The sequence below is a fragment of the Homo sapiens genome, chromosome 22 (assembly GCF_000001405.40).
Source record: "Homo sapiens chromosome 22, GRCh38.p14 Primary Assembly".
NCBI classification, from domain to species: Eukaryota; Metazoa; Chordata; class Mammalia; order Primates; family Hominidae; genus Homo; species Homo sapiens.
Window position 1 is genome coordinate 17,844,452 of NC_000022.11, and position 22,218 is coordinate 17,866,669.

Here is a 22,218-nt window from a genome sequence, read left to right on the forward strand (position 1 = left end):
GTGGCAGCCTCAGACAGAGCTTTTAATGAACCCTGGTAGTCACAGGATAAGGTCTTGGCACATCTGTTGGAATTACTGGCATCCTCCACCAAATAGCATCTTTCGAATTCACTAGAGAATCTTTACTAACAAAGCAAGATCCAGTGGCGTATTCACATACAAATTCAGGTAATGGTGTGATGAAGGGGCAAAACACGAATACTTGAGTTCACTTGTGCCCTGTACACGTGCCCACTTGTTTTAGCCTTTGCATCCTTGCTGGGGGACCTTTTTAAACATCATGCTCCATTCTTCAACACCGAGCTCAGGGCACAAAAAGAATATGCTATGATGCTGGGCTAGGGCATCTTGAAGATGAGGAAATGTGGACTAGAGGTAATGGCAGAAAAGAGGCAGAGGGCAATCCTGATAGATCCGGCCTCAAGTTTCTCCAAACCTGCCCTCCCAGGCCTGGGACAGCAAAGGCCCTAACTGCACTAGCTCATCATTCCCAAATACCAGTCTTCCCATCCCTTCCTTCTCCTCATCAAAATCCATGGCGGCCACCCCATAATGAACAGGGGAGGGCTGAGGATACACTGTCTGTGGCGCCATTTGATTCTTTCCATCATTTATTTTTGACAACTGCCATTCAATGGAAAGCAGATGAGAAAGGGAGATAAAGTCAAGCAACTACCCAAGAATCAGCTTTCTGGGAATTCCATAAATACGGAACAAAAAGTGGTATTTCTTTTAGATGGGAGAAGAAAAACAGGATAAGAACTATCACTTCAGGGAAACAAACAACTAACAGCCATCAATTCAGAGGGAAGTGATTTTACAGTAGAGTGAACGAAACTTGGGAAGGAAAACATCCAAGAGGCGTCTGTTTGACGTGGGTAACGTGGGGAACGCATACTGTCTGGCAAGAATTCTACTAGGACCACGGGAAACAAAGCAGATTAAAACACTCTCTACTCTAAAAGAGCTTCAGTAGCACCTGGGAGAGGGCCCTGCAGGAATCCTTTCGGTACGACGTGTCAAGTACCATGAGCCACGTATGCACTCATGGGAGAACATAGAGAGAGTGAGTCAGCACACCTGGCAGAGTCAAGAAAGGTGTTCTGGAGGCATATGGAGTTAGCCGGCTGCAAAAAAAAAACATTCTGTGAGGTAGGCACTATCATTTGCAAATGAAGTAACTGAAGTTCAGGTCACACAGCTAGTGAGCCCTGGAGCCAAGATCTGAACATGAGGAGGAAAGGCATCACTCAGGAGATCACCATGCTGTCCCAAGACTTACAACAAGAAGAAAAACCAGGCACATGTTCGCAACAGCCCTATCTGCCTTCCCCTTTGGGCATCTTCACCATTGTCTCCTCCCCACTGTAATTTTCTAGGTGAGGGACACAGCACTTCATGAAAGCTTCTTGGAGCAGAGAATCTGGCATCTGGAATGACAGACACTCAGTCTTCCCACTGTTATTGCCCTGGAGATTCTGCAAATCCCGCAGACTAATGGGTTGTCAGGCAACAGAACTTGGCAGTCCAAGCCCAGGGCCAGAGCTCTGGAAGGGGAAATGCTGATTTAATTTTGGGCTTGGCTACAACCAACAAAAAAGAAACCAGAAGCACTGGGAACTGTTCAGATCCTTCACACGCCAGTCCCTGGAGAAAGCCTGCAGAAATGCTGTGCTGGGGACGGTGGAAAAGGGGAGCTGGGAGGCAGCAGTTGCCTCTCCTGTGCCAGACCCACCAGGCCATTGAGCCAGGTCCACACAGAGCTCCAGCTCACCCTGTGGAGAGACAAGGACACGGAAGCACACTGGCAGGCCATTGCCGGGGGTTCAGTGTTTCCAAAGGGAAGGTGGTACTCAGAGGACACTGGGCAAGGACCCCAAACTCACCAACTGCCAAAATATGCTCCACATTCCCAGCCCTTCACCTCAAAATACCATGGGAAATTAAAAAAAAAACCACACGCACAAACACATCGGAACAATCAGCATCCTTGATTCTCTGTCCTGAGCAAGGGGCTTTCTGTCAGATGAATCAGGCGGTGATGAGAAACCAAGATAGTGAGAGCGGTAACAGCAGGGGCCTGGGCAGCGAAGACAGCCCTGTGACCTCCTCCCTCATCAACTAATGGCAGAACCCAGGAGGAGAGAGCAGGAGTGCAGATGTAAACAAGCGCTTTGCAAGGTGCTGGATTGCCAAGCCGAAGTGCACCCCGCCTGTCGGGCTAGCTGGCCCTACCTCCCGCCCTCTACTCCACATGCCTTAGTGCAACAACAGCCCAACAGGGACTTTCCAGCTTAAAGCGGGATGAAAGATCTGCAATAATTTCCAAGGCCAAGTCTTCACTAAGTCAGGGCAGGCAGCTCTCAGGTCACAGGGAGGCCAATTACAGCCCCACACATACCACAAGGAAACAGCTCCCAGGATCTGGGCCATATCCTAAATAGGAAAGAGGCTCTGGGCCGCACCTCAGGTTCTGCTTTGGAAGAGTCACTGCCTGCATGAGCTCCACACATCATTCTGGAAGAAACGTTTCTCCTAACAGGACAACCTGCTCTCGGCTGCTGGGCAAGAGCTGGCAGGGGGCTTTATTTGCTTCCACCTGACTCCTGGAGAGGCATCGGCGGGTGCAGAGGATACTAAGAGGCAGGGTCTTCCCAGGGCCTCAGCAGGCAGCTCCTCTTCCTCCTCCCTGCAGTGGTGGCAAAGCCCCCCTGTACTCGGCACAGCAGCTGCTGAAGACACTTCAGGGCTCCGCGCCGCTGAGAAGGGTGTCGCGTAGGAAATCAGGATGTCAAGGGCCTCTTCTGCCTCTTTCTGGCCTGTCCTCCCACTTCTTTTTCCTTTCCTTCTTTATGAGCTTGGGAAAGTTTGAATGGAATCCGAGTCTGACAAGGACTGAAAGAAAGGTGCTGTGTACACAGACTGATTCCCATCCTGTTTCCCATGTCTGTAAGTAGGATGGCTGCAGGGGTTCATTCATCCAATCACTGATTCAACAAATGTTTCTTCACCACCTGCTTCCAGCCAGACACCCTGCAGGCGCTCAGGCACACCAGTGACACAGCAGACAAGATCTGTGCCCTGGGGCAGCCCACATTCTGATAGCCTATGGGTGTCACCCATCTGCTAAGAGAGGCTGATGACCTCAGGGAGATAAAAGGGGCCGACCGTGACCACCTTCCGGCGTCACCTTCCCGCAAGAATGGCGCTGATTGAAATGACTCATCCATTTGAGAAGTGTGCTCCTGCCATTTTGGAATTCAGAGATTCTCCTTAAGTAGTCCCTCTCATTCCTACTGTTTTTACCAGGCGGTACTGGGTATTTTCGCTGTGACTCTGAAGAAAGATCAACTAACATCATTTTAGCTTGGTTATTTCTCTTATTTACGTTTTTGTAGGAATAGGGTCTCGCTATGTTGCCCAGGCTGGTCTTGAACTCCTGGGCTCAAACGATCCTCCCAGCTCGGCCTCCCAAGTAGCTGAGATTATAGGCGTGAGCCACCACACCCAGCCCAGCTAACGTCATTTCAGCTACCTTCCCCATATGTCCTCCCAAAGCCTTCCCTGCCCCGATCTTCTTGAACTAAAGGAAGCACCAAGCCATGAACCCATTCTGAACCGCAACGTCTCAGGGGAGATGTAAGGAAGAGAAATGTGAAGAAACGGCCAGGTTGGCAGCATGAGCCTAAGTTTCCAGATCTGCAGCAAAATCGGTCACAGTGACGTTCGTGCTGCCTGATCCACAGTTCTCAGAAACTCACAAAATCACCCTGGGAAACTGGGGTGCCCTCTTTGCACAGAGTCCAGATCATGGACAGGGCTGTAAGCGGGATCCATGCCTCCATCTGTTTGATCCCGTTCAAGTTGGAAACAGTACAGTCCCTATGTTCTCCCACACGTCCTCACATACTGGGAAACGGGGATGACACCACGTGAAGTGTGGCTGTTCCGAAACATTCGGAACCATGTCTGGCCCAGACATTTTCCAGTTTAGGGCCAGGCCTATGGAATGTATGAAGCTGCAGAGGGACCCCACTGCCTTGATCTGGGCTGGTCAAAATACAGTGAAGAATCAGCTTGGATACTGGTTCACTCCTATCTTGCTTTGAGCTAAAGTTCCCACAGGAGATCCCATTGGCAACATGGCTACCATCCTGACTTAGAAACCTAAAGTAGTGGGATGGGTCACTACCTGCCTCGGGGACTTCACCACTCCTCTGGTCAAGCTGCACATCAACTGGTATCTGCGGGAGAAGGGCTCTAGCCTATTTTTAGGAGAAGTCACCCCTGGGTAGGAAAGATTCAGAGGGCTTATTAAAGGGCCCTACAGTGTACAAAAGGTCTTCCTGCACTTATTCTCAGGCACCTGGTGCCATCAACTTGGGCTTTTCTCCTCTGCTGCCCCATTCACTAGCCTTAGAGGCTGCTTGATGGGGCTCACATTTTTATACCGTTGACAGCTATGTTCTCATTCCAGGAGGGCAAGCCCCAGAGCCATGTGTGGAAAGGAAGTTTCTAAGCCACTGCTATGTCAGGGTGGTTTCTATCCCCACACGCTGCCCTCCAACAAACTTCTTCTGTGGCTTCCTACTGGCAGGGAGAGTGTGTTCACAAGAGTTTTCCAAGATCACATGATATGAGGTATTTCTTGCTTGTGAAGCAGGCGATGAGGGATAAGCAGCAGTGTTTGTTGAGCGACTACCTGTGCCGGGCACGACGACAGGCAGGCTCTACACACGGCCTTAAACATCACAAATCCCACAAGTCCCTGTGATTACATTGAGGGCTCTGAGTCAGTGATGTTGAATAACATGTCCAAAGACTCACATGAGCCAGAGCTAAGGATAACCCTAGTCTCTAAGAGTCCTTCCAATCAATCATGCAGGAAAGAATTTGTTTTTGACACAGGGTCTCACTCTATTGTCCCAGCTACAGTGCACCGGTGCAATCATGGCTCAATGCAGACTCAAAATCTTGGGCTCAGGTGGTCCTCCCGTCTCAGCCTCCTGAGTAGCTGAGACTACAGGTGTGCGCCATCACGCCTGGCTAATTTTTGAATTTTTTTTAGAAACGGGGTCTTGCTATGTTGCCCAGGCTGGTCTCAAACTCCTGGCCTCAAGTGATCCTCCTGCCCTGACTTCCCAAAGTGTTGGGATTATAGGCATCAGCCACTGTGCCTGGCCCAGAATGGAATGTGTGTGTGTGTGTGTGTGTGTGTGTGTGTGTGTGTGTGTGTATTTTTTTTTTTTTTTTTTTTTTTTGAGATGGAGTCTCACCCTGTCACCCAAGCTGGAGTGCAGTGGTGCAACCTCGGCTCACTGCAACCTCCATCTACCAGGTACAAGCAATTCTCCTTCCTCAGCCACCCAAGTAGCTGGGATTACAGGTGTGCGCCATCAGGCTGGATAATTTTTATATTTTTAGTACAGACGGGTTTCACTATGTTGGCCAGGCTGGTCTCGAACTCCTGACCTCGTGATCCGCCCGCCTTAGCCTCCCAAAGTGCTGGGATTACAGATGTGAGCCACCGCGCCCAGTCCCAGGATGGAATTTTTAACTGCCTGCTACACATGAACTATTCTTCATTTGGGGTAACTTTACTTGTATGTCGGGGCACTGAGAATAGTGGGAAAGCAGGTGACATGGGCTCACTGGGAAATTCAGTTGCTTTGAAGATACTTATCAGAAGAATTGGGAAATTCTGAGTTAAATACAATATGCTAGAGAGGCCAAAGAGGAAAAAACCCAATAGGGAACAAACCAGTTCTGTACCAGGGAAAACCACCCAAATGGGAGGGGGGCCACCCCTCAGACCCAAACACTGTTTCCCAAGCATGCCGAGGACACCCCTGCAGTGAGGACACCGCTAGGGGGGACAAGAGCTCCCCATCACCGCAGTCCTTTGCTCTCACTCTGTGTGACCCTGTGGAACTTTTGCTTTTGAATTAGTTTTTTTTTTTTTTTTTTTTTTTTTTTTGAGATGGAGTCTCACTCTGTTACCCAGGCTGGAGTGCAGTGGTGCGATCTTGGCTCACTGCAAACCTCTGCCTCCTGGATTCAAGTGATTCTCCTGCCTCAGCCTCCTGAGTAGCTGGGATTACAGGCGCCTGCCATCATGCCCGGCTAATTTTTGTATTTTTAGTAGAGATGAGGTTTTACCATGTTGGTCAGGATGGTCTCGATCTCCTGACCTCAGGTGATCTATCTGCCTTGGCCTCTCAAAGTGCAGGGATTACAGGTATGAGCCACCGTGCCTGGCCGAGTTAGTTTTTTACTGTCAGGTTATTTTTACTGTTATGATTACATCATCTCCCAAGGTGCCTTTTTGGCAAATGGAAATCCTGGTACACATCAATGTATCTGGTCAAGGCAAAGAGGTTTCTTTTAAGCTACAAGCCCGACTCTCCAGTAACATACAACTCACCAGTGTGTCATGCGGCTCTCCTGAAAACGTATTTTTCACGTGTTATACCATCTCACAGGTAAACCTTGACTTGATTTGTATCAACTGGCCAGGCCATCCTTCCTGATGGCTGCTTCTTGGCGTTGGGAGGCTGTGGACATGTCTAAAGCACTGGAATTCAGCTGGGTCTCCTCTTAAATTGCACGAGTGCTGCGCTCTAGCTGTCTACCTTCATTACCTGCCCACCTGGATGTAGCTGGGTAAGATCTCAGAAAGGGTAGCGGTTATGCGCTGGGATTTGAAATATTTTAACTCTTTGGTTCAAATACGTGGCTCGTGAACCGGGAGGTTCCATACAGTTACATAACAAGTAATCTGTCAAGTCAATAGTTGCAGGGCTGATCTCTCAAATCCTAAGGGGCAGGTGAAGACAGGAAGGATGGCTTCCCCCCTACTTCTGCCGTCGTTACCCGATCCTGCTTCCGGCTCCACTTGACACCCTTGAAGGGCTTTTATACACGTCTTTATTAGGGCATCTCTCCCCTTCTGTTCAGGTCTGAATGGACTTTAAAACCAGAGGCTCTGCTGGGGAGAGGGATTATTCTCATCATCTTTGTGTTCCTGAAGCCATCAGTGCATCAGGGTAGGCAGTCAATAAAGTGTTTTGAATAAATGATCAGGATAAAGAGTTCTAATCCTCTGTCTGAGCTTCGCTCCACTATAATGTTGAGCATATTCTGGCCTTGGTTTCCTGATCTTAACACAGAGACTTCATGACCACCATGCCTGTCAGGTAGCTTGGTGCTACGCAGTTCCCCAAGAACAAATGGGAACGGCCGCCTCATGAAAAGGGCAAGTCTACCAAGACGGCAAGAGTTCTCACAGCACTCAGGAGAGAAATTCTGACGAAGACGCCAATGGCACAGAGGACATCAAAGTTCTGAAAAGAGACTACCTCGAATGGCTCGATGTCCTGACACAAGCACTTCACTTCACGGTAGAGAGGAGTTTGGTTCCGGGAAGCAGCTTGCTCACCAGAAAGGGGCCCAGTGTTGACACGTGGCGGGTGAAGGGCAGAGGAGGACATGGGTCAGCACGAGCAAGTCCAGGCTGACGTGCTTTCCCCAAGACTCCAGGCTCTATTCCAACCCTCCTGTCCTCCAGAGCAGAGTGCCCCTGACACTCTCAGTCCGGAATGCATCCAAAGCCAGCTCTGATGTGACCCTCCTGTGAGCAGCCACACAGCCTCAGGCAGGCTCGGTCTACATCGCAGGATCCACAGAGACAAACCCACGTTCCAACAAAAGGCTTCTCTTAAATAGGTTCAGATGCCTTTCTTTTAAAGACACAAAATCACATATACATACTCCCTTGGCTAGCTGCAGATGTGTTTTTGGAAAGAAACTAAAGTTGCCTGCCGCAGTGCCCATGACTACCCTGTAAAACGTCAATCACAGTCACACTTCTGTTTTCACCTGTCAGAGGGCCACTGAGGCTGGCCTGGAAGAGAAACATCGATCACAGTCACACTTCTGTTTTCACCTGTCAGAGGGCCACTGAGGCTGGCCTGGAAGAGAATCATTAGTGTCTCGGAATGGAGAGGCTCTAAACAAGCAGACAGACACTAAGAACAAAGGCTGATGGTGCAGGAGCGCACAGCCCAGGCTCGGGGCACCCTTTCTACAGCATCAGCAGCAGCTGAGCAGCTGCGGGTCTATCATCACCCATAAAACACCCATTGGTGCACTGATTCCAAGAGGAAATCAGGTACCCTCCTTTCCTCCAAAGGGGCCACCTGAGGCTCCTGGGTCTAACCAGCAACCCCAGACAGGCCCTGGGACCACGCATAAACCCTTGCTCTGCCTAAGAGAAAGCTACCTGGCTCCTACTCACATTTCCGACTTTCAGGTTAGGAGTTGAAAATTTAGCTTAATGAAGGCCGGGGCTTGGTGGCTCATGCCTGTCATCCCAGCACTTTGGGAGGCTGAGGCGGGAGGATCACCTGAGGTCAGGAGTTCAAGACCAGCCTAGCTGACATGGTGAAACCCAGTTTCTACTAAAAATATAAAAATTAGCCGGGCGTGGTGGTATGTGACTGTAATCCCAGCTACTCAGGAGACTGGGGCAGGAGAATCGCTTGAACCTGGGAGATGGAGGCTGCAGTGAGCCAAGATCGCACTGCTGCACTCCACCCTAGGTGACAGAGCGAGACTCCATCTCAAAAAAAAAAAAAAAGGAATATTTAGCTTAATGTAAATCCTGTGTAGGACTGTTTGTGCTTTTGTTACTATAGTGAAGAGCCCCTAGGGTGTCATAGAATCAGTAGGTGACTTCACATCCCATTCACGCAGGCTGAGGGAAAAAGCAATGCCAAATTTAGCCAAGCAGCCATGGAGATTTAACCGTGCTTCACAACAGCTGGCACGCAACGAAGGTCCACTCCCCCAGCCCACTCTGCTGCAGCCTGGAGACAGCCAAGCTCTCACCTCTTCTGCTTCCCCCAGCTTCTGTTGGCTGAAGATATATCTCAACGGGCCACCTTGTCCTAACCCCACAGCAGGCACAGGCCAGAGAGGGAGGCCCGTACACAGCCAGTAGAAATGATTCTAATTCACCCTCACTCTAATTCTTCCAGAATTTCCTGGAATCCTTGCCAATGACAATCACATTTGATATTCTTGTAATGCTTTTAAATAAACAAGTTTCATACATCTTAACTTATGCGCTCTTCACAACAACTTTAGCAGACAGAGGAGCAGGTAGCATTTTTCTTCATTTAAAAATTTTACACATGGTGAAACTGAGGCTCACAGAGGTTATGACAGCAAGCATGACAGGTGGCAGAACTGAAACTCAAATTCACATCTTCTGTTTCAAGATCTGTGCTGGTTCCATTGAGACCCAGCTCCACTCTCTGAGGCTGGGGCCACCACCAAAGGGTGTGCACATCCACTGGGGTACAGAAACAACACAGGATCTCTGCTTTTATTTTGCAGGTCTGCCTTCTAAAATGATCTGCACCCGCCCGTCCTATGGCATGCAGTCTTCGTACAGGGTCCCGACGTGTGAGAAAGCACAGCCACTAGGAAGTGTGTTCACGGTTTTGTGGGGGCTGACAGGTCTGGAGGCCTGGGCTGGGAGCTGGCAACACTGTTCAGGATCACTTTTCTGATTCTCACCATCCTCTATCCTGATGGCCTCCTCTACCCCACGCCCACTTCTCCCACAATATAACTGAGGCTGACAGCATGTCAATGTCATGTCCTTTCTTCTAACCTTAGTCTAGATCCGTGATTCTCAACTGGGGTGATTTTTCCCCTGGGTCACTTGGCAATGTCTGGAGACATTTTCTGTTGACACAGCTTGGGGAGGGGGGTGCTACTGATGTCTGATGGGGAGAGGCCAGGGACACACCCGACACACCACAAGGCACAGGAAGCCCTCACAGCAAAGCAGGATCCAGCCCAAAACGTCCACAGTGCTGGGCTGGAGAAGCCCTGGCTTAGAAGTTATATCAAGTTATTTCTAATCTCTTACCAAACAGGCCGACCAACCAACTCTCCACAAGGTCTGACGTGGTAAGCTCACGACCCTTCACCGTGGCTGCCAAGGTGCAATGCCTGACCAGCAGGAGTGCAGTACATGGAGGACCAACCGAGAACTGCCTGGTGAACAGGTAGCTCTGGGCTTGCCGTCCACAGACAGGAAATCCATGAGAGAGGTGCATGCTGTGACAAACTTGGTCACTGCCACTCGCTGAGCACCTGCACCCCAAGTAGCTGCATGAGCCGCCTGAACTTTCCCTTGTCTCATGACGCGACTCTACTGATGGAAGGTGATTCTGCTCCTCCTGGCAATGCCCCTGGAGGGCACCTGCACATCCCCTACCCCTCCGTCCATGTTTGTCATGTGCATGAGGCCGCAGGAATTAAAGGAGACCACCAGAGATGAATCTGATGGGCTTCTCGCCTTTCACTCACTTTCTCCTGGCTGGATGCTAGAAGCCTCTGACAGACGGGACGTTCCACTTGGATATTACAGCAGGACGTCTCACTAAACCCAGGAAGAAAACTGACGGGAGAACATGGCATGGAAAAACACACCTACCTTTGTGCTGTGTTCTCAACTCCTCTTTTTCCCCATTTTCCAGAAACCTCCAACCTGAGAGCTCTGAGTGCCCCTGCCACAGTGTGCCTTGCCGAGGTCAGGCCAGGCCGTGCCACACATGCCCAGGAGGCTTCCTGAAAACCTCTCTATGCCGAACCATGTTGCAGCTGGCAGGCACAACCAGGACTTCCCATGCACACTTAGCCCAAAGACTTACGAGTCAATCACTTTACGTGTGAGTTCAGTACAGAGTGGCCCAAGCCTGAGTAGATCAGAATGTCCATATTCAGCACAAAAAGAGGTACAAAATCATCCCTTCCTTCCCCTATCCCTAACCCTACAGAGGCCCAGGGCAGGCAATGTCTTAAGAGGACTGTGAATGGCAGCTGTGAAGCTGTAACACAATGGAAGTGTCAGCTCCACCTTCACTCAGGCCTTTGAAACGTATCAGAAAATGAGGTGGTAGAGGAAAAGCCAACAGATTTATAAGCTAGAAGCAGTTACACCAGAACTCAAAGAAAAAACATCCCCCAAGCATGTTCCCCAATCCTCCACATCACTGGCAGGGCGGACGGATGGAGGAAGGGCTTACTCTTCATAACAAAACCTCAGGCTGGATTCGAGAGGACCAAAACGAAGGATGATATAGAGAAAATGAAGAGAAAGTCCATTTCATATTATTTACAGTCAATTCGGATGGTTGTCATTCTCTTCCTCCATTTCTTTAATGACTTCCCCCATTGCACCTCAGTGATGAAATCCTTTGCCTTTATTTAATGTGCTGTCTTTCCAGAGGCACATTCCCAACTCTGGGATGGTTGTCAAATTGGGAGACCTGTATTTTCCAGGAATAATGAAATGGAAACTCACTGGCTTCTCCAGGGCATCTACACATAGGGTTCTTGCCTCTCGCCCACGCTGCCGAGCCCAGGCTGCAGAGAATGATGAAGGGCAGCTCCTGTGTCCTCTGCACAGCCTCTGCCCAACTCTGAGTTTATTGGTTACGTGGCCTTGGCCAAGCCTGCCTAACTCCTATGTGCCTGTTTCCCCATGTGCAACATGGGGCCTGCCTCCCTTATGGCTGCTGTGAGGATCCAAGGTCAGCTACACAAAGCATCTGCTCAGGGCCTGTGCACAGTGCGTGCTACATGTTAGCGACCGCTGCTGCCGCTACTGTGTGTCTCCCAGCATCGTCTTCTGTGAGTGAGTATGGCAAGGGCCCCCAGGGCTAACTGATCAACATCAGTCACATGTGGGGAAAACAGCAGGAGTGACGGCACTGCAAGCTTTACTGTCAATTTTTATTTGGGGAAAGTATTTTGGCAGAGAAGAGGGCTTTCTTGGTTGCAAACACAGACAAGCCCTAAGCATGGTCTTTTGAGCAGCATGAAGGATTGCTGCTGGCTCTCGGCAACACAGCAAGCCAGTGCGGACTCTTACCTCCCTGGCCCTTCATTCTCCTCTCTAAGCACCCAGTGCTTCCTGTTTCTCTGAGATCGCAGAGCCCTCTTCCCTGCACCCTCCACCCCAGCGTTCCCGTGCCTCTACCAACGCCAATGCCCCAAGAAGGCTGAACTGGCCAAAAGGAAGGCAGCAGCTGGTTCAGAGTAATTCACGTTAGATGAAACTCTAGAAGAAAATGTTTACTTTTTTTTTTTTTTTTTTTTTTTTGAGACGGAGTCTCGCTCTGTCGCCCAGGCCGGACTGCGGACTGCAGTGGCGCAATCTCGGCTCACTGCAAGCTCCGCTTCCCAGGTTCACGCCATTCTCCTGCCTCAGCCTCCCGAGTAGCTGGGACTACAGGCGCCCGCCACCGCGCCCAGCTAATTTTTTGTATTTTTAGTAGAGACGGGGTTTCACCTTGTTAGCCAGGATGGTCTCGATCTCCTGAACTCATGATCCACCCGCCTCGGCCTCCCAAAGTGCTGGGATTACAGGCGTGAGCCACCGCGCCCGGCCGAAAATGTTTACTTTTAAAAGAACCTACTGACCTAGTCTCTCGGTAGTAAAATGATAGGAAAGAAATTTTATAGCTGGTCTCACTGTAACCTGGTCTTTTTAGAGTCTTAGTTCTGGGGAACAGGGCAACAATAAATAAATTGCTGCCATAATCCTGTTAATCGATACCAGCTCTTCCTTGGTCACCAGGTTGTACTTTGTCCATGAAAACTACTCTGGCAGGAGTCCCCACCCCCTGCGCTGTGGCCCGGGCTGGGTCATAGACCCACCGCCTGTCAGGAACCAGGCCGCATAGCAGGAGGGGAGTGGCTGGCTAGTGAGTGTCACAGCCTGAGCTCCGCCTCCTGTCAGATCAGCGGTGGCGGCACGAGATTCTCCCAGGAGCGGGAACCTATTGTGAAGTGAGCATGTGAGGGACCCACGCCGCATGCTCCTTATGAGAATCCAACTAAGGCCTGATGATCTGAGGTGGAAGAGTTTCATCCCAAAACCACTGCCCACCCCAGTCTGTGAAAAAACTGTCTTCCACGAAACCAGACCCTGGTGCCAGCAAGGTTGGGGAACACGGCCTGCGGCGTGGCTCTTCTCCCGCAGGTGCAGGAGAGTTGATCACAGAACACAGAATAAGGAAATCAGTCACTTAACAGTCACACCTGGGCAGTCTCATGTGATTAATGTAGAAGCACAAAGAGCTGGGTAAGTACAGAAAGAAATAGAGATAAAGAAAACACAAGAGGCCAAGAGAAGTTCTGTAAGGATTTTTCTAGTAGCTGTCCCAGCATGGCCCCAAGAGTCTGCAGCAAGGCGGAGCTGGGGCCCTAGATTCCCTGTCTGTGGAAGGGTGTTCCAAAACTTCCTTTCATGCCAGCAAGGGCCTTCTGAGGGGCGTGTGCCTTCTTCCCGTTTTAGGCACATTCTGCCTATGCACGGCATACTTCTTATTGCTGGGAGGAAAAGCACATCAGTGACAAGGTTGGGCTTAGCTAGCCTGAGTTAGGGTGAAGATGCTGGCAGTGATTCAACCTCTTGCCCACTGTCCTTCTTGGAGACCCATTAAAGGGCCCCCAAAATATTCAGAAAGTGTTCATAAACTGCTTTTGCAAAGTGATGTGGAAGTTGGCCCACAGGAAGTAAAATGGAGCTGGTGTTCACGTGGCTGGTAGAACCCGGAAGTAATTGATGGAGAGTCCCATCCACCTGGAGGCCCGCATCCCCTCCCGGGCAATGAAACGTGTTTCTGCGTACAAGCCTACCACCCCCTCCCGCCAAGGTAAGCGGTGAGGAGACAAGGAGCAATTATAAAGAAAGAGGTGTTGGCAGCCAACAGGGTGCTGAGAATTCCGGGCGGTGGTGAGAGGAGCCCACAGTGCCATGACCTGACCTGGGCAGGAGTGCCAATGGGCCTCACCACCCCTTGTTTCATTATGACTAATCTACTTGCTGGCACTTGTGAGGCGCTTGGCTGGGTGAGCTGCAAGGTAAGGGCTGGTTTTTGAGTCTAAAGGAGGTTTCAGGGCTTCGTGAAAGGGGCTGGAATTCGGAAAGACTTCTCCTGAAATCTCTGCCTGGCTGCTGCCGTTCAGAGCTCCACATGGGTGTTTTTATCTCGGGGAGCACTTGTGGGACCGGGTCCTATACGGCATCATCCTGCCCTATTTTTTAGCATGAAAATAAGAGTGGCCCATTTTCACAGCCGCTCTCCTTCCATGTGTGTGCCACGGCCTCCCTCTTAGGCAGTGTGTTAATTAGGGAAACTGACAGGGAATTTATGAGAAAAAAGAACAGATTTCAAGAAGTTTCAGAAGGAAACTGAGATCCAAAAGGGATTTTCTGGGGTGTTCCCAATGGGCAGCACAGAATCACGTTGGGTGTCCCCACCTTCCTGCTGGAAGCCTCAGGCATCGCTGTGAACAGCAGTGGTCCCCTCCCCTTTATTACTGGGGGATGGGCAGGCAACAGCAGCCAGGGGCTGAGATTTGAAAATTATGCACACGTATGTATCCATCCTTATTACTGACGCTTAGTTAATTTGTCACTTATTGCGCCCCCCACATCCCAATTCCTTCTCTCCCTTCTGCAGGCACTAGGATACTGACTGACTTATTTCAGAGAAAGGGGAGCCAGAGGCTACAGACCTGGGGGGCTGAGGGGAGGAAGGACATGAGCAGGCCAGGAGACACCGCCCAGACTCTCAGAACCATCGAGGCTCTGAGGAAAATGACGGTGTCACAGCAGAGCTGTGAGCTACTGGGGGGTGAGGCCCTCCCTAACCTGGACTGTGGTTGTCGAGAATGCCAAGCAGACCCCAGGGACCTGCTGCTCTGATCTATGGGGAAGCCAAGACCTCTTCACGTTCCAAGAGAGCTGCTTCAGGGGGACGGAGGCCAGAGAGGGCTCTTTCATGTGAGAACACCCAAGTGCCTAGGGCCCGGCAGGTGCAGACTCGGGGCTGAGTGCTTTGCCCACTACAGCACAGTGCCCTCTCTTGGGCCAATTCAGCATGAGGCTAGGCCTGTGCCCACTGCAGCTGACAAAATGCGGGAACAGTGCCACGGCTGCTAATGCCAGCAGCGGTGTGTGTGAGAAGGGAATAGTCTGTTTTTAATGCAGGCTAGTCCCTCCAGGCTGGAGAAGGGCCAAAAAGAATCAGATATCCCAGCTTAGCGTCCAGGTCACACCAAAGACAGCATGAGAGAGAAATCAGCTCAGGAAGAAAGAGCAAGAACTTTCAACCTTACCAGGAGCAAGGCTGTTGTGCCTGCGGGCACGCCTGGCAGAGCCTCCAGGCGGAAGACAGACACGCCCCTGGCCCCAGCTCCCTGCCACAGTTGGAGGGAGGAAGAAGGTGCCTGGCTCTATGTCCCTATGGTTGACCAGGCTCTGTGTGGCATTTCTACCCCTCCATCCGCCCAGCCTGCGGGCCCTCCTGCTGGTGGACTGCACCTGAGGCCCATGGGCACAGGTGGCATCCTTCTTGCTTTTCTCCACTTGCAGCTGCTGCAAAGCAAAACTTCGCACCACTCCAGCCCCTACACAGGAGTCCTCTGTTAACGGGAAGCTATGTCAGGTATAAAAACCTATTTCCCCCACTTTGCACCTCTGCTGTCTTGCTGACCCCCCGGAGTGGGAGTCCTGAGCCACAGTGGCCTCAAGCTCACTCCCAAGACCTGCCTGAGCCTCCCCCTTTCCCACCCTCTGGTCAAGAGAAAGGGAAGGAAAAGAAAAACTCAGAAATCCGAAGATTGTTTGGAATTTATTCTCTTAAATAAGAATGTAACATTTGTTAAAAAAAAAATTAAAAGCACGACAACTTGGTTTCACAGTCAACGGCAAAAACAAAGTTACACAATTAAATAAAAACTCACAAAGAAACACACCAAGAACTCACAAGAGCACAAGTTAAAAACAAAGGCAAAAATGGAAGTGGAGAGAAGGCGGGCAGTAGACAGGCAGCAGTGGCGTGTTCCTTGGCACAGCTAATCCTCTCCTGTTGGGCTCTCGTACCGCCGCCGGGAAGCCGGCTGGCTGTCCGCCCCTCCCGCAGGCACCCCAAGCTGAATGGCTCGGGAGAAAAGTGAACCCCTTGGTGCCCTGCTCGGACCTTAAAGGCTATGGTGGAACTCCTTTTGGGACAGCCTAGGAATGTTCCAGTGTCTTGCAGAAAAGAGCTGAAGATGCACTAACCACCAAAAGATAGGAGTGGGCTCAAACGGCTAACTCAGTGGAGCCAGACAGGAGACATGTGAGGCGGGTGCCCGGCTCTCCGTGGTGTCCTGGCAGCAGCAGCCCCCTGCGTTCCTAGTCTGCTCTTGGGGCCCTTTCTTGGGGGTGTGCTGCCCATTTTCTGAGACACCCACCCACTCACCTCCTTACAGGCGTGCTGCCCGTACGCTGCTGTGCATCCCCAAAGCCCTGACCTGGAGTACGGCTCCCCAGTGTGAGGCTCCCGTGGTTCTCAGAACCAGGAACAAGCAGCTTTAGAAACAGCTTCACAATTATTATAATTACTATAATTTAGGGTGCAACATATAAATAAATATCTACCCATATATGTGCAATTAGATCTATATACATACAAACGTGTACCTATATATAAACATTCACACATCACCGTCAGCTATGGCTCTTGGGGTAAGGTGGGAGGTAAGCTGGATTGTAGAATTCTCTTGCTCCACTAAAAAGCTTTCCATAAATGCCTAGAAGGGAAGGGGACGTGGGAAGCAGTAAGACTTCCGAACTTCCCTCTGTCAGGTGGGAACCCTAGGGTTGAATGAAATTCTACTGCCTGGCTACCCTTCTAGCTGGTGTGGGAAAGGCCTGCATTTCCTAAAGGCCCATTCAGGATCCGAACTATGGAACCTCATGGTTATCGGGCAAGGAATGTCTGGGGACAGGGGTCAGGCAACTGCCACTTGTGACCTTCATTTTTTAACTTCAGATCATCTTTTCCATAAGATGACAGGAAACTAACGTGCTTCTCCCCGTCCATCTCTGGCCGGTAATGAACCCGGTGATGAGCACTCGGGGAAAAAGCTCTTCTGTTCCTTTCCGGCTATGCCTTCGGCTTCCCTACTTCATTTTTGGTCATCAACCGTATCAGATAAAAAGAGGATTCCTCTGGACAAAAACGAATTCAAGAAACCTGTAACTAAACTTCTCATGTCCAAGGGGAAAATAATCCCTTTTGGGGATTTCCTTTCTCTGCCTATTGTTCAAGCTTTTTCTAAAGTCATGGTGGACAGTACAAGGCCAGGGTAAGAAAATCTGTGCCAGGACCACTAACACGCAGTAGTAAGTATAAGCTTGGAAACACAGCATTCATAGATTTAAGAACAAAAAAGAGGATTTCTATATTAAAAGCACATTACAAACAGAAATACTGTAAACAATGCCCCCAAACACTAAATTAGGCAGCAGGTACAGATTTGGTTACCAGAGAAAGACAATACTTTAAAGCCGACCTAGAGTGGTTCTTTGAACTGCAGGTTGTAATTGGGTGTGGGTGTGTTTTTTTGTTTTTGTTTTGGCAACAGCAAGAATTTTGGCATAAAAAGAAAAAGAACATAAAGGAGAAGAGAGAAATGCCACAATATAAAGAGGAGGCACAGAGTAAAAGCACAGCTGGGTCAAACACTGCCCAGTCATAGCTTTACCAGCCCTGCCTCCTGGGACGTGGGTCTAGGGAGGATGGCTGAGTTACACACAAGAGAATCAAGTGCCGTCATCATCGCCTCTACTGGTCGAGTGCACAGTAGAGGCGGTTACCATGGGCCTGAGCTAATGACTGTTCTCTACAACATACATTCTGGGACCCTGAAACACCTGAGCTTTCCCTTTTCTTCTTTTTTTTTTTTAGATGGAGTCTTGCTCTGTCATCAGGCTGGAGTGCAGTGGTGTGATCTCGACTTACTGCAACCTCTGCCTCCTGGGTTCACGCCATTCTCCTGCCTCAGCCTCCCGAGTAGCTGGGACTACAGGCATCCGCCACCACACCACACCCGGCTAATTTTTTTGTATTTTTAGTAGAGACGGGGTTTCACTGTGTTAGCCAGGATGGTCTCGATCTCCTGACCTCGTGATCTGCCCGCCTCGGCCTCCCAAAGTGCTGGGATTACAGGCATGAGCCATCGTGCCTGGCCACACCTGAGCTTTTCTGAAACTTTTCAAAAGGAAGTCTAGTTAAGTCCTCAAAGCTTCAGTTTCATATTTAAAGAAGGAAATCTCTATCAAAGGAGAAAAGGGTATCTATTTCATGCCAGCCATAAAATACTGCCCATAATCCTGTTCCTTTTCTACCAAGGCTAGCAGCAGAGTGAGCTCACCGGGAGGCAAGGTGCCCTGATTCTGAGCTGCCGGACTAAGATGTTCTGGACTCTGAGCTGCCGGAGGGTAAGCCCCTCAGCCCTGAGCTCACTGGCCTTTGCCACCCAAGCTGGGGGACAGTGCCTGTCATTAACTGTAAAGGTCCACACTGTGATTCCTTTGGGACACCACATTTTGAACTCCCGTGCTATACCAAGTCACCTTCTGGCTCAGAATCAAGAACCACGCGGACAGAGACGTCCTCAGGGCTCTGACTCTTTCTTGGTGGTTTTGCTCTTTAACCACACTGCCAACCCTCATCCTCTCTCCCCACTATGTAGAACATTCTTCCTCTTATTCTCTATGGAAAGCGTAATTCTTTAGAACTCCTAAAAACCTGAAACCCATTATACTTTCAATTAGATGGCAAGAATGGCAACCTCGACCAGATGGGAAAGTCAGCAAACCTGGCGTCATTCAGGAATAACCTAAACTTCACTGTGTTTAATTCTTTTTAAAAAATGTTCTGTACTCCAAACCGAAATGGAAAGTTTAGTTTCTTTTGAGTTGTTCTACTGAGTAGTCAGGTTCCTCAGAAAATCCATCTCTGATGAAATAGGGCCCAGACTAATAAGGTGGTGCTCTCTCCAACTGAATGTACATTCTATAGCATAAAGCCAAAGTCTCTGTCTAGACCCCTTTGGTTATTTTTCTCTACCAGTGATTCTGCCCATGCTCTGAGAGTGTCAGCTGCAAAGGCCTGTGGGTACTTCACGAGAAAGATGGATTATAAAGATCTTCAAGATTGTAGAAGGTTTAAAAGTCATTAATGGTTGAAACATGGCTATAAAATGTTGGTCCCACCTGCAGGGTACTTAAAAAACTTGCTCAGATGATAATAAGGGCACGTGCAGTAGCAGAAGCTGCGTTCACCTGGCTTGGCTGGGTTCTCATGGCTCCCAGGGCACACCGCCTAGCCTCTGGGCGCATCTTCCCTCTCCCAGAATGAGCACCACAAGGCCTACATGAACCAGCTGTTAGGGAAGGGAAAGGATGCAACTCTGGGAACCTCTCGTTGAAGGCCAAATGGGTAATTCTCTTGTCCCACCATGGAAATTCTATGACCAACTCCTCCTCCACATTTCCTGGCACTGGCTGACCATCTTTAATTTTTATGAGTTTTGTATATAGCTGCTTGAGATACATGTGTTTTGAACAAGAGGAAAGTGTGACAGACAGAAACACAGCCCTGCTGGCCCCCTCTTGCCACAGTGACCCTGGGCCGTGAACCACCTGGAGCTGTATGTGGGACATTCAGAACACCCAGCAGTTTGTGGAGCTCTGGACGCATCTCACAGGCAAGTTTTACAAGTTGCTGAGAGAGGCCATTTTAAGGAAAATCTACATAATTCTTCCCAACAGGCCTGGTACCCACAAACCCTGCGAGTCCTGTCATGCTATGACAAGAATAAATGTGTTTGTAGAGGTAGAGATGGTACTGTTCACCTCCCAACACAAGGAAGTGGTCATGAAAGTGGGACAGGTGAGGGCTTGGACCTCATGACAAGCCCAGTGGCCAAGGGGTCAGGACAGGGCATGTCCCATCACGGTGCAGGGCAGACAGGAGAGCAGCCACAGCTCATCCACACACAGTGACAGGGAACAGGACGCAGAATCTTAAGTGAAGGTGAACCCAAAACAAGACCACGGGGCTTAATCAACACAGCTCCAGGCCGTCAGAGGAGCTTGGAAGCAAACTGCATGAAGGCCGAGTGGCCTTGGCCTCACCAGGGCGGGTGATGGGAGCAGTGTCTGAGCGCCTGCGAGCTCCTGTCTACCTACACAGGACCTGGGCCGCCCTCAGGTGTGATGGTGCGGGACGGGGCTGAGGGACAGCACTTCACGGCTCTGCCGCCCACCGGACGGCCCCATCACTGGGCCACAGCCTGCCAGTGGAACTCCCCTCTGATTTGCACCAGCACCTCCGACAGGCCATAGAGAAAGGGGACTCCGAACGCAAGCAGCTGGCACATGAAAAAGGAGTCCAGAGGGTTTTGGGCCACTTGTTGCCCGAATGAAGAAATGTTGCTTTGGAGGTGCTGGCTCATGCCCTTGGCCTTGTCACAGAGGCCGAGGGAGTGACGCGCCACCCAGCCAAACAAGGAAGTGAGGCTACCTGGGGTTCTCTCAGTGGAGCTGGCCACGGCGTTGGCCCGTCCGTTTGCATCTGTGGTGGCGCCATCCTGCAGGGGTCCTTTGGCCTCCTAGGAAAGTTCATGAGAAAAAGAAGAGTGACTCTGACTGATGCACTCAAATCCTCAAATCCCTAGAGGCACTGACAATCTGACACGCTGGTTTTAAATTTTATTTATTTATTTATTTATTTATTTATTTATTTATTTATTTAAGAGACAGGGCCTTGCTGGCACCCAGGCTGGAGTGCAGCGGCATCATCATAGCTCACTGCAGCCCCGACCTCCTGGGCTCAAGCAATCCTCCCACCTCAGCCTCCTGAGTCACCCGGAGTCAAAGTCTAGATCCACCTAGGTGCACCTCTTCCTGCCAGTCCCTCTGCAGGCAACAGAAGCCCTCAAGGGGGACTGACAGGCAGGCGTGCTGACAAGGTGGCAACCATGCTGAAGAGACTGCTGGGTTCACCGCGACAAAGACAGGTGGAGAAGCCACCCTCATTAAAAAGAGGATAAGGAAGGAAAAAATTCACAGACAAATAACTCACAGAACTAGTGAAAGGCCCCGCAGGCAGGGCGCCCTTTGGGTGTGGGGAGTGAGGGTGGGGCCACCGAGGGATCCTCCCAACAGTCTCCTCTCCCACCCTGCCCTTCTGGAGGAGGCTCTAATCATGTGGAACATGAGGCGGCATCACCCCAGTGGCAGGGTGTCCTCTCAGAAAGATGTGTGTTGACGAAGGCAGATGTCTACGCAGCTGAGATGGAGAGCTGCATCATCTCCTGGGTCCGACTCAGGGGGCAGGTGGAGCCTTTACCTTAGCGAGGCAACCTCAGATCATCCATGAAAAGATGGTTCCCTCTCCACCCCGGACTGCCACTGCATTTCGGGCCCTCCCCGTTCCCAGGAGAGGCAAGGACGCAGGGGCATTTGCAGGTTGGCCGCCCCCGGCCCATAGCCACACTGCTGCAACACCCACTGCTTCTCCCCCACTTACAGGAGAGTCACCATTACCTTTCCAGACAGGGGAGCCACTGCCGGTCTCTTCCTTTGTGCGTAGCCAGAGAGTCGATAGCAGTAGTGTGGCTTACAGTAGAATTTACCTGCAGACAGCAAGAGGCAGGGACAGAGGCGATGAGCCAGGCACGGATCCTGAACGTGCCTCCCTGGTCTCAGCCACTCCTTTCCATCTCCTCCAGCCTCACAAGGCCATCAAGCCACCCAGCCTTCCCTGGGCCCAGCTTTCTTGTCCAGAGAAGCCAGTTCCTCCGGGTAAACTTTGATTCTAGCTCTCCTCTCCCTTGGCCTGAAGGGGGTCTTTTCCTTTGGGAATGTGAAGGCCATTGAGCCATCACCCAATCAGTGCCCAGAGCAAAGATGTGAGGCCTGTGTGGCAGGGCCAGCAAACAAAGTGGCAGTGTGTGAGGAACAAAGATGTGGTCACATGAAACGCTGGGAGTAGCATTGCTGGGGAAACCAAGAATGAATACAAGTGCAGGGTGGAGGCGTGGAGGCTGCAGGGGTGGGGCATCGCCTGGCATTGGCTCTGACAGGCCCATCTCTGCTGCTCCCCCTCCCGCACCCTATCTCTCACCCCCTCCCAGTCCCCTCAGAGGGTCAGGATCAGCAGGAAAGGACATTAGAAGACAAAAAATACTGCAATGGACTATGAGTAGGATGGAAGGGAACAGCATAGAACAGAACAGAATAGAATAGAATAGAATAGAATAGAATAGAATAGAATAGAATAGAATAGAATA

General features: G+C 50.6%; 1 protein-coding gene across 3 annotated transcripts in view, besides 2 other annotated features; it reads right to left on the reverse strand.

Moving 5' to 3' along the window:
* MICAL3 (microtubule associated monooxygenase, calponin and LIM domain containing 3) overlaps nucleotides 1–22,218 on the reverse strand; it is a 236,913-nt gene that overhangs the window by 56,803 nt on the left and 157,892 nt on the right. For 2 of the 3 annotated variants that reach the window (NM_015241.3, NM_001122731.2), the window contains 2 exons: nucleotides 21,473–21,561; nucleotides 20,448–20,535 (listed from right to left, as the gene is read on the reverse strand). In NM_015241.3, the coding sequence (NP_056056.2) occupies nucleotides 20,448–20,535; nucleotides 21,473–21,561 (177 nt within the window). Of the gene's footprint in view, nucleotides 1–15,703; nucleotides 20,536–21,472; nucleotides 21,562–22,218 lie in introns of those variants that run through there. The other variant, NM_001136004.3, reaches the window with a different exon arrangement.
* Nucleotides 11,540–12,423: an enhancer, noted in NCBI's record as "H3K4me1 hESC enhancer chr22:18338757-18339640 (GRCh37/hg19 assembly coordinates)". NCBI's record gives its function as "activates a minimal SCP1, AML or CMV promoter by ChIP-STARR-seq in naive H9 embryonic stem cells {active_cell/tissue: H9 hESC(naive)}" and the evidence as "EXISTENCE:reporter gene assay evidence [ECO:0000049][PMID:30033119]".
* Nucleotides 14,768–15,269: an enhancer, noted in NCBI's record as "H3K4me1 hESC enhancer chr22:18341985-18342486 (GRCh37/hg19 assembly coordinates)". NCBI's record gives its function as "activates a minimal SCP1, AML or CMV promoter by ChIP-STARR-seq in naive H9 embryonic stem cells {active_cell/tissue: H9 hESC(naive)}" and the evidence as "EXISTENCE:reporter gene assay evidence [ECO:0000049][PMID:30033119]".